This window comes from Homo sapiens, chromosome 3 (assembly GCF_000001405.40).
Source record: "Homo sapiens chromosome 3, GRCh38.p14 Primary Assembly".
In the NCBI taxonomy this organism is placed as follows: Eukaryota; Metazoa; Chordata; class Mammalia; order Primates; family Hominidae; genus Homo; species Homo sapiens.
The window spans coordinates 109,793,032-109,810,010 of NC_000003.12; the positions used below are offsets into that span (position 1 = coordinate 109,793,032).

Consider the following 16,979-nt stretch of genomic DNA (forward strand, 5'->3'; position numbering starts at 1 on the left):
CTTATTTAGCTGCAGTGGTTAGTGATGGAATTAGAAAACAGTTAAATAGAAGACTTGAGGAAATAGCTAAAGGGAGACTAAGCATATCTAAGATATAATAAGATGACAATTAATGTGATTAAAGAATTACACTTATCGATGTTAAAAGCAAAAAATGGATGAGAGAGGGGGAAAAGCTGCTGGTACACCCACTTTTAAGATGACAACTGTAGCAGCATATAGCTCCATAGCAAGATAAAAAGAAAGCTTAATTTGACTAGAATATACATGATCTCATGTCACTCAAATGCACAAACACCCACAAACCATGCACTCATACAGATATATCTTTTCTCATATTGTTCCTTCTGCATGAAATGTTCTTCATTTCTTCTTGTGAATGTTCAATAACTAAATATTTTTTAAGCATTAGAGTGCTATCTCCCCTTACAGCATACCCCAAGGTGGATGAATTTCTCTTGCTCCTTTATTCCTCTCTACTAGCTTTATAATTCACTTTAGCATTTAATTAATTCAACATTTTACATATTCATTCTTACAACCAAATTTTGAAGTGTTATTCTTTTTTCATCTTGAATTGCATATAGGAAATTTATGAACATAATAGGTGCTGAATAAATATTTTCTGGGTAAAAGTTTTGTTTGGAAGCTTCTTTGCATGAATTTAAGAAAACAATAACCTAAAATTCAAAACAACTTTAGTCCAAGGTAAAGATTTCATTGTATTTTTTCTCATTTAAGTATTAGTATTTACATATGTAGAGACGGTTTTTCAGCTTTGCACATGAACTCTTCTGTCTTATGTTAGATTACAGAGGAGGAAATGGGTACAAGGAGTAGGAAACATGCCCCAAATGATACACTATTTAAAGGCAATAGCCCAGTAGTGATTCTAATATTTTGCTTAGATGGTGATGTTCACTATTTCTCTATGAGAAATGCCAACATTACACAAATGTCAATAATGTTTGCTTGCATACAATTAGGTCCAAACCAACAATTGCTTTATTGATGCCTATTATTTACTATATACAGATTTAAGTAGGATAAAAAGAATGATTGGACATGATATGGTCATCCCCAATAAGCTGATAATCAAAGTGAAGAGCTGAGTTATAAACATAGGAAATTTTTAGATTGTTGTACAAGCAAAGATTTGTCAATCAATTAGATAATGAATGACAAAATAGTTGGTTACAATGCTGTCAGAAATTTTAACTTGACATTATTAAGGCACTCTACTGGCAGAAACTTTCACATATCCAGCAAGAACTCATACAATTCAATCAAAACAACTTTTAAAGATTGGTTAGAATTTGGTCTGAGCTCTGGGCTGATTGTGAACATTCTAAAACATTGACCTGTTTTGGATTTCCATTACCACTTATGAATTTGCTCTTGTTCTCTAAGTAACCTGCTTTGGCTTCCTGATTTTTGGCTTAAGACTCTTAGTACCCATCTGGCAAAGGTATAGAAGATTGTACAATTAATAGTAATAGCAATAGATACTATTAAGTTAGCATATATCATGTGCCAGGCTCTCTGCTATGTGATTTATATTATTCTTATAATTATCCTGAAAGACAAACATTATTTTTTATACTTATAGATGAGAAAATCATTTTGCACATGAGAAAAATGAGGTAAAGGAGTTATGTAACTTTCTCTAGAATACTGAGCTAAGTAAGTGGTGTAAGTGGATTCACACCCTATTCTGTTCAGTTTCAGAGGCTGCAGTCTTCGCAAGGGACTTGGTGCAATTTATAAGATGGAGAGATTACCATTGTCTGGGGAGTAACTAAAAAGGTTTCATAAGAGAAGTGGCATTAGTGTCACTTTTGAATGAAGAGTAGCATTTTGGCTGGTGAGGTAGATGTAAATCCAGGTAGAGGGAGTATAATGAACAACCAACTATACAATGTAAGGAATGCATTTAAGAAATGATGTAAACTCCAGTCATTCTAGGGATAATGGAGTGAGATAAGACTTGTATAGAAATATGATAGAAATTACTTCTAATCATTTTGTTCTCTTAATTTGTTGCATTATGGAAAGTAATTGAAAGTTTTCAGCAATGAATGACATGGCAATAAGAGGATTATTTTACAATTTGTGTGAGAAAGGTGATTAGAGATTTTGTTTTTCTCAGCACTAATTAGAGAGGTATTACACTTCTACTCTTCCTCAGTGGGCAGGGCATCTCTGAAAGAAAGGCAGCAGCCCCAGTAAGGGACTTATAGATAAAACTCCCATCTGCCTGAGACAGAGCACCTGGGGGAAGGGGCAGCTGTCGGCGCAGCTTCAGCAGACTTAAATGTTCCTGCCTGCTGGATCTGAAGAGAGCAGCGGATCTCCCAGTACAGCGCTTGAGCTCTGCTAAGGTCCAGTCTGCCTCCTCAAGTGGATCCCTGACCCCCGTGTCTCCTGATGGGGAAACACCTCCCAGCAGGGGTGGACAGACACCTCATAGAAGAGAGCTCTGGCTGGCATCTGGCGGGTGCCCCTCTGGGACGAAGCTTCCAGAGGAAGGAGCAGGCAGCAATCTTTGCTGTTTTGTAGCCTCCGCTGGTGATACCCAGGCAAACAGTCTGGAGTGGACCTCCAGCAAACTCCAGCAGAACTTCTGCAGAGGGGCCTGACTATTAGAAGGAAAACTAACAAACAGAAAGGAATAGCATCAACATCAACAAAAAGGATGACCATGCAAAAACTCCATCCAAAGGTCACCAACAGCAAAGACCAAAGGTAGATAAATCCATAAGGATGAGGAAACACCAGCACAAAAAGGCAGAAAATTCCAAAAACCAGAATGCCTTTTCTCCTCCAAAGGATCACAACTCCTTGCCAGCAAGGGAACAAAACTGGACAGCCATGAGTTTGACAAATTGAAAGAAGTAAGCTTCAGAAGGTGGGTAACAACAAACTCCTCTGAGCCAAAGGAGCATGTTTTAACCCAATGCAAGGAAGCTAAGAATCTTGATCAAAGGTTAGAGGAATTGTTTACTAAAATAGCCAGTTTAGAGAAGAACAAATATGACCTGATGGAGCTGAAAAACACAGCATGAGAACTTCATGAAGGATACACAAGTATAAATACCCAAATTGATTAAGTGGAAGAAAAGATATCAGAGATTGAAGATGAACTCAATGAAATAAAGCATGAAGACAATATTAGAGAAAAAAGAATGAAAAGGAATGAAGAAAGCCTTCAAGAAATATGGCACTATGTGAAAAGACCAACCTTATGTCTGATTGGTGTACCTGAAAGTGACAGGGAGAATGGAACCAAGTTGAAAAACATACTTCAGGATATTATCCAGGAGAACTTCCCCAACATAGCAAGATAGGCCAATATTCAAATTCAAGAAATACAGAGAACACCACAAAGATACTCCTCGAGAAGACCAACCCCAAGACACATAATCGTCAGATTCACCAAGGTTGAAATGAAGGAAAAAATGTTAAGGGCAGCCAGAGAGAAAGGTTGGGTTGCCCACAAAGGGAAGCCCATCAGACTAACAGCAGATCTATCTGCAGAAACCCTACAAGCAAGAAGAGAGTGGAGACCAATATCAACATTCTTAAAGAAAAGAATTTTCAACCCAGAATTTCATATCTAGCAAAACTAAATTTCATAAGCAAAGATTAAATAAAACCCTTTACCAACAAGCAAATGCTGCAGGATTTTTGTTACCACCAGGCCTGCCTTACAAGAGCTCCTGAAGGAAGCACTAAACATGGAAAGGAAAAACCGATACCAGCCACTGCAAAAGTACACCAAATTCTAAAGACCATTGACACTATGAAGAAACTGCATCAACTAATGGACAAAATAACTAGCTAGCATCATACTGACAGGATCAAATTCACACATAACAATATTAACCTTAAGTGTAAACAGGCTAAATGCTCCAATTAAAAGACATAGACTGGCAAATTGTGTAAAGAGTCAAGACCCATCAGTGTGCTGTACTCAGGAGACCCATCTCACGTGCAAAGACACACATAGGCTCAAAATAAAGGGATGGAGGAATATTTACCAAGCAAATGGAAAGCAAAATAAAGTAGGGGTTGCAATCTTAGTCTATGATAAAACAGACTTTAAACCAACAAAGATCAAAAGAGACAAAGAAGGCCATTACATAATGGTAAAGGGATCAATGCAACAAGAAGAGCTAACTATACTAAATATATATGCACCCCAATACAGGAGCACCTAGATTCATAAAGCTAGTTCTTAGAGACCTACAAAGAGAGTTTGACTCCCACACAATAATAGTGGGAGACTTTAATACCCCACTGTCAATATTAGACAGATCAAAGAGACAGAAAATTAACAAGGATATTCAGGACTTGAAGTCAGCTCTGGACCAAGTGGAACTAATAGACATCAACAGAACTCTCCACCCCATATCAACAAAATATACGTTCTTCTCAGCACCACATAGCACTTATTCTAAAATCAAACACATAGTTGGAAGTAAAACACTCCTCAGCAAATACAAAAGAATGGAAATCATAACAAACAGTCTCTCAGACCACAGTGCAATCAAATTGGAACTCAGGATTAAGAGACTCACTCAGAAGTGCACAACTACTTGGAAACTGAACAACATGCTCCTGAATGACTACTGGGTAAATAACGAAATTAAGGCAGAAATAAATAAGCTTTTGAAACCAATGAGAACAAAGACACAACATTCCAGAATCTCTGGAACACAGCTGATGCAGTGTTTAGAGGGAAATTTATAGTACTAAATGCCCACAGGAGAAAGTGGGAAAGATCTAAAATTGACACCCTAACATCACAATTAAAAGAACTAGAGAAGCAAGAGCAAACATTCAAAAGCTAGCAGAAGACAAGAAATAACTAAGATCAGAGCAGAACTGAAGGAAATAGAGACACGAAAAGTCCCTCAAAAAATCAATGAATCCAGGAGCTGGCTTTTTGAAAAGATCAACAAAATAGATAGACCGCTAGCAAGACTAATAAAGAAGAAAAGAGAGAAGAATCAAATAGACACAATAGAAAATGATAAACGGTGGATCACCAATGATCCCACAGAAATACAAACTACCATCAGAGGATAAAATAAACACTTCTACACAAATAAACTAGAAAATCTAGAAGAAATGGATAAATTCCTGGACACAGAAACCCTCCCAAGACTAAACCAGGAAGAAGTCGAATCCCTGAATAGACCAATAACAAGTTCTGAAATTGAGGCAGTAATGAATAGCCTACCAACCAAAAGCAGCCCAGGATCAGACAGATTCACAGCCAAATTCCACCAGAGGTACAAAGAGGAGCTGCTATCATTCCTTCTGAAACTATTCCAAAAAATAGAAAAAGAGGGACTCCTCCCTAACTCATTTTATGAGGCCAGCATCATCCTACCAAAACCTGGCAGCGACACAACAAAAAAAAGAAAATTTCAGGCCAATATTCCGGATGAAGACCAATGCAAAAATCCTCAATAAAATACTGGCAAACCAAACCCAGAAGCACATTAAAAAGCTTATCCACCATGATCAAGTTGGCTTCATTTCTGGGATGCAAGGCTAGTTCTACTTATGTAAATCAATAAACATAATCCATCACATAAACAGAACCAATGACAAAACCCACATGATTATCTCAATAGCTGCAGAAAGGCCTTCGATAAAATTCAACACCCCTTCATGCTAAAAACACTCAATAAACTAGGTATTGATGGAACATATCTCATAATAATAAGAGCCATTTATGACAAACTCACAGCCAACATCATACTGAATGGGCAAAAGCTGGAAGCATTTCCTTTGAAAACTGGCACAAAACAAGGATGCTCCTTCTCACGACTCCTATTCAACATAGTATTGGATTTCTGGCCAGGGCAATCAGGCAAGAGAAAGAAATAAATGGTATTCAAATAGGAAGAGAGGAAGTCAAATTATATCTGTTTGCAGATGATATGATTGTATAAAGCTGATAAGCAACTTCAGCAAAGTGTCGGGATACAAAATCAATGCGCAAAATCACAAGCATTCCTATACGCCAATAATAGACAACCAGAGAGCCAAATCATGAGCAAACTCCCATTCACAATTGCTACAAAGAGAATAAAATACCTACATTTACAACTTACAAGGGATGTGAAGGACTGCTTCAAGGAGAATTACAAACCACTGCTCAAGGAAATAAGAGAGAACAAAAACAAATGGAAAAACATTCCATGCTTATGGATAGGAAGAATCAATATCGTGAAAATGGCCATATTGCCCAGAGTAATTTATAGATTCAGTGCTATTCCCATCAAGCTACCATTGACTTTCTTCAGAGAATTAGAAAAAACTACTTTAAATTTCATATGGAACCAAAAAAGAGCCCATACAGCCAAGACAATCCCAAGCAAAAAGAACAAAGCTGGAGGCATCACGCTACCTGACTTCAAACTATACTACAAGGCTACAGTAACAAAAACAGCATGATACTGGTACCAAAACAAATATATAGACCACTGGAACAGAACAGAGACCTCAGAAATAATGCCACACATCTACAGCCATCTGATCTTTGACAAGCCTGACAAAAACAAGCAATGGGGAAAGGATTCCCTGTTAAATAAATGGTGCTGGGAAAACTTGCCAGCCGTATGTAGAAAACTGAAACTGAACCCTTCCTTACACCTTATAAAAAATTAACTCAATATGATAATATAATTTATACAAAATTAACTCAATATGGATTGAGACCTAAAACCAAAAAACCCTAGAAGAAAACCTAGGCAATACCATTCAGTACATATGCATGGGAGAAGACTTCATGACTAAAACACCAAAAGCAATGGCAGCAGAAGCCAAAATTGACAAATGGGTTCTAATTAAACTAAAGATCTTCTGCACAGCAAAAGATACTATCATCAGAGTGAACAGGAAACCTACAGAATGGGAGAAAATTTTTGCAATCTATCCATCTGACAAAGGGCTAATATCCAGAATCTACAAGGAACTTAAACAAATTTACAAGAAAAAAACAACCCTACCAAAAAGTGAGTGAAGGATATGAACAGACACTTTTCAAAAGAAGACATTTAGGTGGCCAACAAACATATGAAAAAAAGCTCATCATCACTGGTCCTTAGAGAAATACAAATCAAAACCACAATGAGATACCATCTCATGCCAGTTAGAATGGCGATCATTAAAAAGTCAGGAAACAACAGATGCTGGAGAGGATGTGGAGAAATAGGAACACTTGTACACTGTTGGTGGGAGTGTAAATTAGTTCAACCATCGTTGAAGACAGTGTGGCAATTCCTCAAGGATCTAGAACCAGCAATACCATTTGACCCAGCAATCCCATTCCTGGGCATATACCCAAAAGATTATAAATCATTCTACTATAAAGACACATGCACACATATGTTTATTGTAGCACTATTCACAATAGCAAAGACTTGGAACCAAGCCAAATGCCCATCAATGATAGACTGGATTAAGAAAATGTGGCACATATACACCATGGAATACTATGCAGCCATAAAAAATGATGAGTTCATGTCCTTTGCAGGGACATGGATGAAGCTGGAAACCATTATTCTCAGTAAACTAATACAGGAACAGAAAACCAAACACCGCGTGTTCTCACTCATAAGTGGGAATGGAACAATGAGAACATATGGGCACAAGGAGAGGAACATCACACACTGGGGCCTGTCAGGGGGTGAGGAGCAAAGGGACGGATAGCATTAGGAGAAATACCTAATGTGGATGACGGGTTGATGGGTGCAGCAAATCCATGGCACATGTATACCTATGGCACATGTATACCTATGTAATAAACCTGCATGTTCTGCATGTGTGTCCCAGAACTTAAAGTATAATTTTAAAAAATAGAGAAGAGGTGTGAATAGGTGAGGAGGCCACAATGATATGCACAAGATTGCAAAGAAAGAAGTAGAAGAAAAATGAGAGAGAGAGATGAAGCAATGGCAACTAGTGCCCCTTCTGGAGTTGGTTGCTCACATCAAGGTAAATGATAGGAAATGGCACATAGAGTTTTCTGTCTTATAATATGCTTTTGTATCTCAATGCCTTTTTCCTCTTTCAGAGCATACATTACTCAAAGGCAGGAAATATGTGTGTGCTTGGAGAGAAAATAAAGGGGGTTACTAAAATAAAAAAACAAAAAACTTCTACTTTTAGAGAATGAATAAAATTGGCATTTATTTTCCAGTTAAAAGGAACAGTTGTATAAGCATGTAGAACTTTATGCCCAGAGATCAGAAGACAAAAGAGGGGTAGAGATAGATTTAGATCATCCATAGCTGACTGCCACATAAAAGTTGACAGGTTTGCCTGGCACATAGACTACAATGTGAATGGGACTCCAGAGTTGTGCATTGGAGTTCAAACCCACACAGGGGCTGCATGCCCAAAGAGGGGTGGTTCTATTACAGGCACTAAGTGAGGGAGTATAGAGAAAGAACTTTGAGAAATGCCCAAATTTAGTGGGTAAAAGGACAAGAAAGATAAACCAGCAAGGGAAAGAGGGAGAGTCACAAGCTGGTTGAGAATAGTGCAGTTGCCATAGCCCATGTCTCTTTCTCTGCATGATGTCCAGAACAGTCTTCATGATTCAGTCTTTCAAAGTGAAAATAGTGTGTGGCTCTTCCTTCACAATGTAAATTCTCTCTCGCTATGTATCTCTGTCCTTCTCTGTCTGTGTATATGTATGTGTGTGTTTGTGTGTGTGTGTGTCTGTGTATGTGTCCCTCTTTCTCTCACACATGCACATACGTATACATTAGCATTTGACATTGTCTTTGCTAGTTTCATTGTCAGATCAAATTAGTTCATTAGAGTTAAATGATCTTTGATAAAGCACTATTTACCGACAGCACTGGTTCCTCTTAAATTGATGCTAGTTAGGAAAAACTTAATTACCTTTCTCATTCTATATAGAACATTTTAATTTTAAAGCCTGATTCTCCTCTGAGAAATCGTACTTCACCTTCGAAATTTTATAAGGGGAATACTTTGCAGCCATTCAATAGCCATTTCTACCTTCATTATCTCTGTAAAGGAATATAGGTGTTTAAAATGGTTATGCTTGTTTTAAGTTTCAAGCCATCATATCAACTTTTGATCATCATCATCTGACACACTCTTTCTAAAGTCTTTGGTTGAAAAGTTGTATTTCAAAAACTATGTCCGTAGGGACATTTTCTTTCCAAAAGAATAATTAGTTCCTAAGAAATGACACAGCTACACATTGTCAATGTAATTAAGTGTGCTGTTGCCAAACTCAAGACAAGCCTACATTTCTGTCATCCTGCCTGATGCCAGAGCCAACATATCTTTTGCTTATTATTTTATAATCACCACTTAGAGAAGCTCAACAAAACTTCTTGAATCCTAGGAAAACCATAAAATAAGACTGGCTACAAACCTGGCAATGCCTCAATATCAAGACATGGTAATTTAGTCCACCCCTACCACTTGTCTTTTGTAGCAATGTGTCAATTACGCAGGAATTATTCTGCTTTCTAAAATCATCAGAAGAGGGTTTTCCATGACTTTGTCCTGTAATCAATGGAAATGCATGATAATGTGGATCATCAACAGTGAAAAATAATTTTAATCAGCATCTTCTTTTTTAGGCAAATGGTGAATAAATTTGATTTATTTTATTTTTCCTTGGCTTCTCTTTATGCATTTTTAACCATCTCTGTTATGGAGTTGGTTAGCTAATATTTTTGGCTGTACATGACAATGTTTCTTTCCTTCATTACCACTCTTCTGATATCAGACTTCACCTTCATATTTGCATTGGATGGGGCAGGGGTATTTACAGGGCTCAGACTTGACCTAGCATAGGGATGCCAACTCCCTGGACACAGTGTTTGCTCTGGGATGGGAGCTAGACCCAAGTATGTTGGGTTGTCAGACAACATACAGGATTCCCACTTAATTTTAAATTTCAGATAAACGTGAATAGGGGTCTAGGATATATTTTTTCACCTCTGTTGAAATCTTCTCAAATAACATGTGGGATATATTCATACTGATACAATTTATACTTAAGTACTATTTGCTCTTTATCTGAAAATCAGTTTTAACTGGGTGTCCTTTATTTTTGTTTGCTAAATCTGACAACACTATAAGTAGGATCAGAGACTTCTTTTGTTTTGTTTGCTTATTCTATATGAACACAAGAGAAATAATTTCCATTAGGATGTACAGGAGAGGATTAAATTGAAGCCCATCTGATAGCCACTTTCCCTGATGAGTAAGAGGAAAAGTAAGCCAAGTAAAGGAGTGCAGACACCTGAGGTAGCAGAAAGATGAAGTCTTCCTAATTCCAGCTCCTATCTGCAGGCTCTGGTACTGCAGCTCTTCCTTTTTATATTATGCACCATCCCAGCATCTTTCTCAGTTATGGCAGCCAGTAGATTACTTTTATTTATATGAGCAAGTGGGAGTGTGAGCAGTCACTCGTGCGGCGCTCTCCTCCTTCCCCTGGCGTCCTCCAGCATTTCCGCTTGCCCTCCATGCAGCAGCACCCACTCAGACCTCCCCTCCCACACAAGCTGCCCCACCCTGCATAGCATACTGTTTTCCCGCAAAAGGACCTTAAAAATTCTTGTTGAAGTAATCAGTGGATAGAGTCACAGGAAATAGGGAGTAGCTGTAATACCTTGATTAAAGAATGATATGTGGCCGGGCACAGTGGCTCACAACCTGTAATCCCAGCACTCTGGGAGGCCGAGTGGGGCGGATCACGAGGTCAGGAGATCGAGACTGGCTAACACGGTGAAACCCCGTCTCTACTAAAAAAAATACAAAAAAATTATCCGGGCGTGGTGGCGGGCACCTGTAGTCCCAGCTACTAGGGAGGCTGAGGCAGGAGAATGGCGTGAACCCGGGAGGCGGAGCTTGCAGTGAGCCCAGATCGTGCCACTGCACTCCAGCCTGGGCGACAGAGCAAGACTCCGTCTCAAAGAAAAAAAAAAGAATGATATGTAAAAACAAAGTTTTTAGGTTTTTAGGACAAATCTGCCAACAAGAATTTCTCATGTTTCAATCGGAAACTTTTTTTTTCTTTCCAGTGTTAGGATAGACAACCTTATTTCCTTCCCACAAATGGCAATTCTTTAGATTACTGGAGGGGGGACAGCTTGTCTGTTTTCTAATTTCAAAAACGAATAATTCCTTTAAAAGCTTCAGATTTTGGTGCTTTTGTCATCTTGCTACAGGGCTCTGGACCCTTGGCCAGTGGCCAGCTTTAGAAATGGTCATTTAGGAAGCAAGTCTTCCCCAGAGAATGCATGTGCTGAGTTGCTCTCATGTTTGCTGGTGGACAGTTGGTCCCGTGTCCCCAACACCACAAAGGCTTTCATGGACAGAGTCCTTCATGGGTAAGAGAAAAAGCTGGGACACATTTTTAAAAAACTTTTAGTACATGTAAAAGTGATGTTCTTTATAAGAAAAATGTTCTTTATTCATTTTGGAAAAAAAGTAGAGTCCAAATTTACCAAAGTATAAACACTGAGAGACAAAAGCTGTGGAGATATAAAAAACAGAAAAACAGGCACTTTGCTTCATGCATATATCAACAAATTTTAAAAATCAAAGACAAACTAAAATTGTCAGTAGGGGTCCTACAGGCAAAAAAGACATCATCTAAAAAAGAAGTCTTAAGGAGGGAGTGAAAAAGTAAAGATGGACGAGAACAGTGTAAGTAAATGCTGTATATCTTCCTTTAGGTTTTGAGCACCTTTTGGATTAATGCCAGAAGAAATCCTTCAAAAGTAAGTGGGTGTGTATGGTCAGGCCTGGCTTATGGGCTTCCCTGCCTTTATAGAAATCATGTCAATTAGTTTCAGCTTCATGAAACATTAGTCATAAAGGTGTGAAAGCAGTGGTCTAATTGAACCACAGGTAGCTTAATGACTCATTTTAAACACTTTACTCTCACTTTCTCAAGAAAATAGGAGGCACAATGAAATAAATTGCTAGGCTAAAGCCAAGTATCAAGAATCCTGATATTCAACATAGTTAACCCATAGGGTGGATGTAGAATCTGCAGCAAAGGCCCAGATCAGGAGCTAAGACTCAGATAGGACTGGATAGATTAGAGAAATCAACCATCTGGGCCAGAGACTTCAATATTGTGAAATAAATAATTGGCCTTTACAGCTAATGTAGAGACCAGTGCCTACTTGGAATTCTGACAAAGAGAATAAAGTAATTAAAACCAGATTGACCTCTATAGTTTGTCCTGAGCAGAATCTAACAAAATCCAGCTTCTTTTGTTTACCTGCTCTATCTCCCATGTTGAGTAAGAATATTGTGGTCAAGATGGAAGTGGGTAGTAGGATCTAGCCTGAAGCGGAGAGTGGAGCAGGAAATGTGGGATGTAAGGATAAGCAGAATTTGCTGAATGCTTTTCAGGAGGATGAAAGAGTACATCAGACAATAATATATAGTCTTTGTTAGCTTTTCTTTTTATACAATGTTATAGACTTCAAAGAGATTCTATATTCCAAATCTTCACAAGATTTCTCACAAGAATATTTATGTGAAGCAAGGTACATACAATAAAATTGAGACTCAAGAGATTAAGTTACATGCTCAAAGTCAACTGAATAATAAATAGCACAGCCTGGATAGACTCCAACCCAGAGCATCCTGAGTGATTTTTCCCAGGAATCTTTTCATTTTTATGTCTATTTAATTCTGATGTCCCATTCATATGGAGACATATGATATGGACTTCCGTTTGCTACCATATAAATAAAGAGCAATATGAAGATGGGATAAGGGAATGTCCAGAATGCCAGAGTCAAACTAGCATCAATAGTGGCAATTATCCAAATGACTGGGGAGAACACCAGGATCTTAGAAATGGTATTTTAGATGTTACCAAGCAAGGCCATCTAAAGTAAGCCTTCAAAGAGTTCCAGAAGCAAAGAAAACAGATGAAAAGGCATGAAAACATGAACACTCTAATAACAGTTAAAGTAAATGGGATTGCTCTTGCCAAGACCTATGAACTATATCTGATTGTAGAGAAAAATAAAACAGCGGGTGAGGTGGTGCATCCATTCTGCAGATATATCTTTCAATAGGGAAGGCAGTTATAAACGAGGTGACTCTCTCTTGATTTCCATGATTTTAATTTTGTGACATAATGTGTATTCATTTATATTTTCTATTGAGTATGAGTCCATACACAATTAATGGTTAAATTTTTGAAAATATAAAGATTTTTACTGATAAAATTTATCATTCAAGGTTGGGATGCATATACTTTTCGCAGTAAAAGAGCAACAAATTTGTTAGAAAGTAGTTTTAATTGGTATCCTTTAAAAGAACCTTGTAGGATCGTGTTACTTCACATATAGGAGAATATTTCTCTAGCTTGTGGCTTCAGTGATACATTTTTTATGGACTGGTTGCCAGTGATTCTCGCCCATGAAATGTATAGAGAAGTCTGTTGACACTTCTTATCCTCTCTCTCTTTTACCTGATTTGAAGCAAAAATAGTCATTTTGGAATTAAGAGGAAAAGGACAAGTGAACTTTTGACTTAATCTTAACATTGTTGAGCTCCTGAGCTAATGAAAGCAACAAGTTCTTACTTTCAGATTTTGCATTCTGTGACTAAACAAAAAAGACTCCCTCTATTTTTTAAATTACTTTTTAAAAATACCTAATCAGATATTTTATTAATTGAAACCAAAGGCATTTCTAACTGTACCCTAACTTCCTGTCTTGTTTTCTCTTTCAGCTTTGTGTCAGTCTTTCTGTTGTGGAGATTTTTTTTTTTTCAGTCTTTTTGTCTGCCTAGCATTTGCATCCCCTTTCTACGTGAGATTAATCTTGGTGGGAGAAAGAGCAAACTTTAAACTTTAGAAACATTAACTATATAAACTATAAAAACTAAAAATACCAGATACGTTCTCAGCCTGATTTGAAGCAAGGGTTTGGGCAAATACTTCGGGCTCTCTATATTGGATGCACTCATACCAGTTTTTGAGTAGGAAGTTAGTGACACCAAAAAACACGGGAAGTGACTCATTCTCTGATAAAGGAAGTGGTTACAGCACAATTGTGTTCCTGATAGATCAGTGACAACATTATCTAGGACACTCAGTGTTCTAGTTTTGTGGGGGCAGAAGTAGTTTCCTCATCAGCCCAGTTTTGCAGCCTCAATTGGGGCATTGTTCAAGATTCATTGTTCTGAGCAAGATGGTTCCGCTCTCCTGGTGATTCAGAGAGCTACCTATTAGTTTTTAAAATAAACTCTTTTTTATCCTCCCATTTATTCAGTCATGATTGATTTCTTATTTTGCTTGCAAATAAGGACCTTGCTTGATGTATTGTCTATCTCTTAGGCCAAAAGAATAGAGGCCAGAGAAGAGGAGCCAGGCTGGTAGAAACATCTCGCCTTTTCTGCTTGGGTATGCTGTCACCTTTTACAAATGAATAAGCATGTTAATAAGCTGACAAGAGAAAGAGAGAGGAAGAAAACACGTAAAAAAATAAAAATAGGCCAGGCGCTGTGGCTCATGCCTGTAATCTCAGCACTTTGGGAGGCTGAGGTGGGCGGATCACAAGGTCAGGAATTCGAGACCAGCCTGGACAATATGGCGAAACCCCGTCTCAATTAAAAATACCAAAAAAAATTAGCTGGGTGTGGTGGCGGGCGCCTGTAGTCCCAGATACTCAGGAGGCTGAGGCAGGAGAATCGTTTGAACCCAGGAGGTGGAGGTTGCAGTGAGTCAAGATCACGCCACTGCACTCCAGCCTGTGCAACAGAGATAGACTGTCAAAAAAAAAAATTCACGGCATTTATGGCTTTAAGGATCTGTGTAAAAAACTACTGGTAACACTTCAGGGTATCTTTAATGATATCAATTGATATGTCTCTATCATTCATTCATATATCCTTCATTCAGTAGGTAGCCAGACTCTGTGCTTCTTGGTCTCAAGGATGTTTTGAGTTTGAAAAAACTGAAGTTTTACTTCCAACCTAGGTTTTCATTTTCTAAGTCTATACTTTTTGATAAAGTTGTGCTAGACGCCCTTGAAAGAGAGGAGAGAGAGAATGCCTCCTACATGAAATAAAAGAAAAGGGATTACTTTTACTCACAGTGAAGAGTTTCCTTACACCCAGTTTCCTTACTCCTAGATCTGGAGATCTGTGATATCTCCAGATAGGAGTGCAAGGACACAGAACCACTGTAGGGATTCCTCAAAGGCCACAGCAGGACCCTGCTAACTATCAGTGCTGTGTGGAGGAAGCAAGACTTCAGGAGGAATGTTGGTGGGTTTCAGGCTCGCCAAAGTTTGCTCCATCCTCAGTGTGGTGCACAGAAGCATCGGTCAGGAAGAAGGCTGGATTTGGAGGGACCCTGTGGAACAGACTCCAGTGTCTAGGTAGTAAACATTGGACAGATGGCCAATGACCCAGGAGCCACCCTATGTCATTGTGCTACTAAGACCTTCACATACTTCATTACCCTGGTAGTAGAGGGTCCTCAAGAATTGCTGAGATAGATATTTGACTATCTTGGCAAGAAGTGGACAAGAAGTAAGTATTAAGTACATTTATAGAAAATAAAGAAATGCATTATTATATTAGTTTGTTAGAGCTGTTGTAACAAAGTATGTGGACCCTATGGGTTAAACAACAGATATTTATTTTCTCAAAAATATGGTGGCTAGAAGTCCAAGTCAAGTTGTCAGTAGGATGATTTCTCCTGAGGCCTTTCTTGTCTTGTCTTCTCCCTGTGTGTTTACTGTGTGTGCATGGTCTTTGTGTGTGTGTGTATGTGTCCTAATCTCCATGTTTTAATAAGTACACCACTCATATTGGATTAGGGCTCCCCCTATGACCTAATTTTTCCTAAATTACCTTTTTAAAGACCCTATCTCTATATACTGTCACACTCTCAGGTACTGTAGTTTAGAACTTTAGCATATAAATTTTGCGGGACACAATTTATTCCATAACAATTATATTTTGCCCAACTGAGTTTGAGATTGTGTTCAAGTTTTCTCTATTATGATGTTACAAATTATTGTTACTAATAATATAAATAATAATAGCAAATAGGTATTAGGCACTTTTAAAAAACATTTTAGGTGATAACTCATTTAATCCCTGCAATAGTCTAACATAAGAGATATATTGTTCACATTTTATTAATCAGAAAGCTGAGGCATAAGATTTCTGTAACATTTGTAAACACTAGGCTGCACTGTATCCCAATAAAAGTAATACAGTAATTACTAAGCATGGAAGGTATGGCATAATTGATCCTCCAGTTGGATCAGAGAAGGGATTTTTGCTCACTATGACCTTTCTCATTTTGTTCTTGATTCCTGAAGGTTCTGTCCTATCATTTAACATGGGTAGCTGTATTAGTCAGGGTTCTCTAGAAGGACAGAACTAATAGAATACATGTATATATAAAGGGGAGTTTATTAAGGAGTGTTGACTCACAGGATGACAAGGTGAGGTCCCACAATAGGCCATCTGGAAGCTGAGGAGCAAGGAAGCCAGTCCAAGTCCCAAAGCTGAAGAACTTGAGGTCCAATGTTCGAGGGCAAGAAGCATCCATCACAGGATAAAGACATAGGCTGGGAGGATAAGCCAGTCTAGGCTTTATTTATTTATTTATTTATTTATTTATTTATTTATTTATTTTTACATTCTTCTGCCTGCTTTTATTCTGGCCGCAGTGGCAGCTGATTAGATAGATTGTGCCCACCAGGATTGAGGATGGGTCTCCTTTCCCAGTCCACTGACTCAAATGTTAATTTCCTTCAGCAACACCCTCATAGATATACCCACAACGACACTTTGCATCCTTCAATCCAATGAAGTTTACACTCAATATTAATCATCACAGTAGCCATTAGTAATGCTAAAATTGGCTGGCTAGGAATTAGAGGTGAGATAAAACTCTTGAAATTATCTTTTTT

At 38.1% G+C, this 16,979-nt stretch overlaps 1 long non-coding RNA gene across 1 annotated transcript in view, besides 1 other annotated feature; it reads left to right on the forward strand.

Moving 5' to 3' along the window:
* Positions 1 to 16,979, forward strand: part of LOC124906267 (uncharacterized) — a 188,134-nt gene that overhangs the window by 145,008 nt on the left and 26,147 nt on the right. The gene's annotated exons all lie outside the window — the stretch shown is intronic.
* Positions 13,770 to 14,969: an enhancer, noted in NCBI's record as "P300/CBP strongly-dependent group 1 enhancer chr3:109525648-109526847 (GRCh37/hg19 assembly coordinates)". NCBI's record gives its function as "activates an origin of replication core promoter dependent on BRD2, BRD4, P300/CBP, MED14 and CDK7 cofactors, with strong dependence on P300/CBP, by STARR-seq in HCT116 cells {active_cell/tissue: HCT116}" and the evidence as "EXISTENCE:reporter gene assay evidence [ECO:0000049][PMID:35650434]".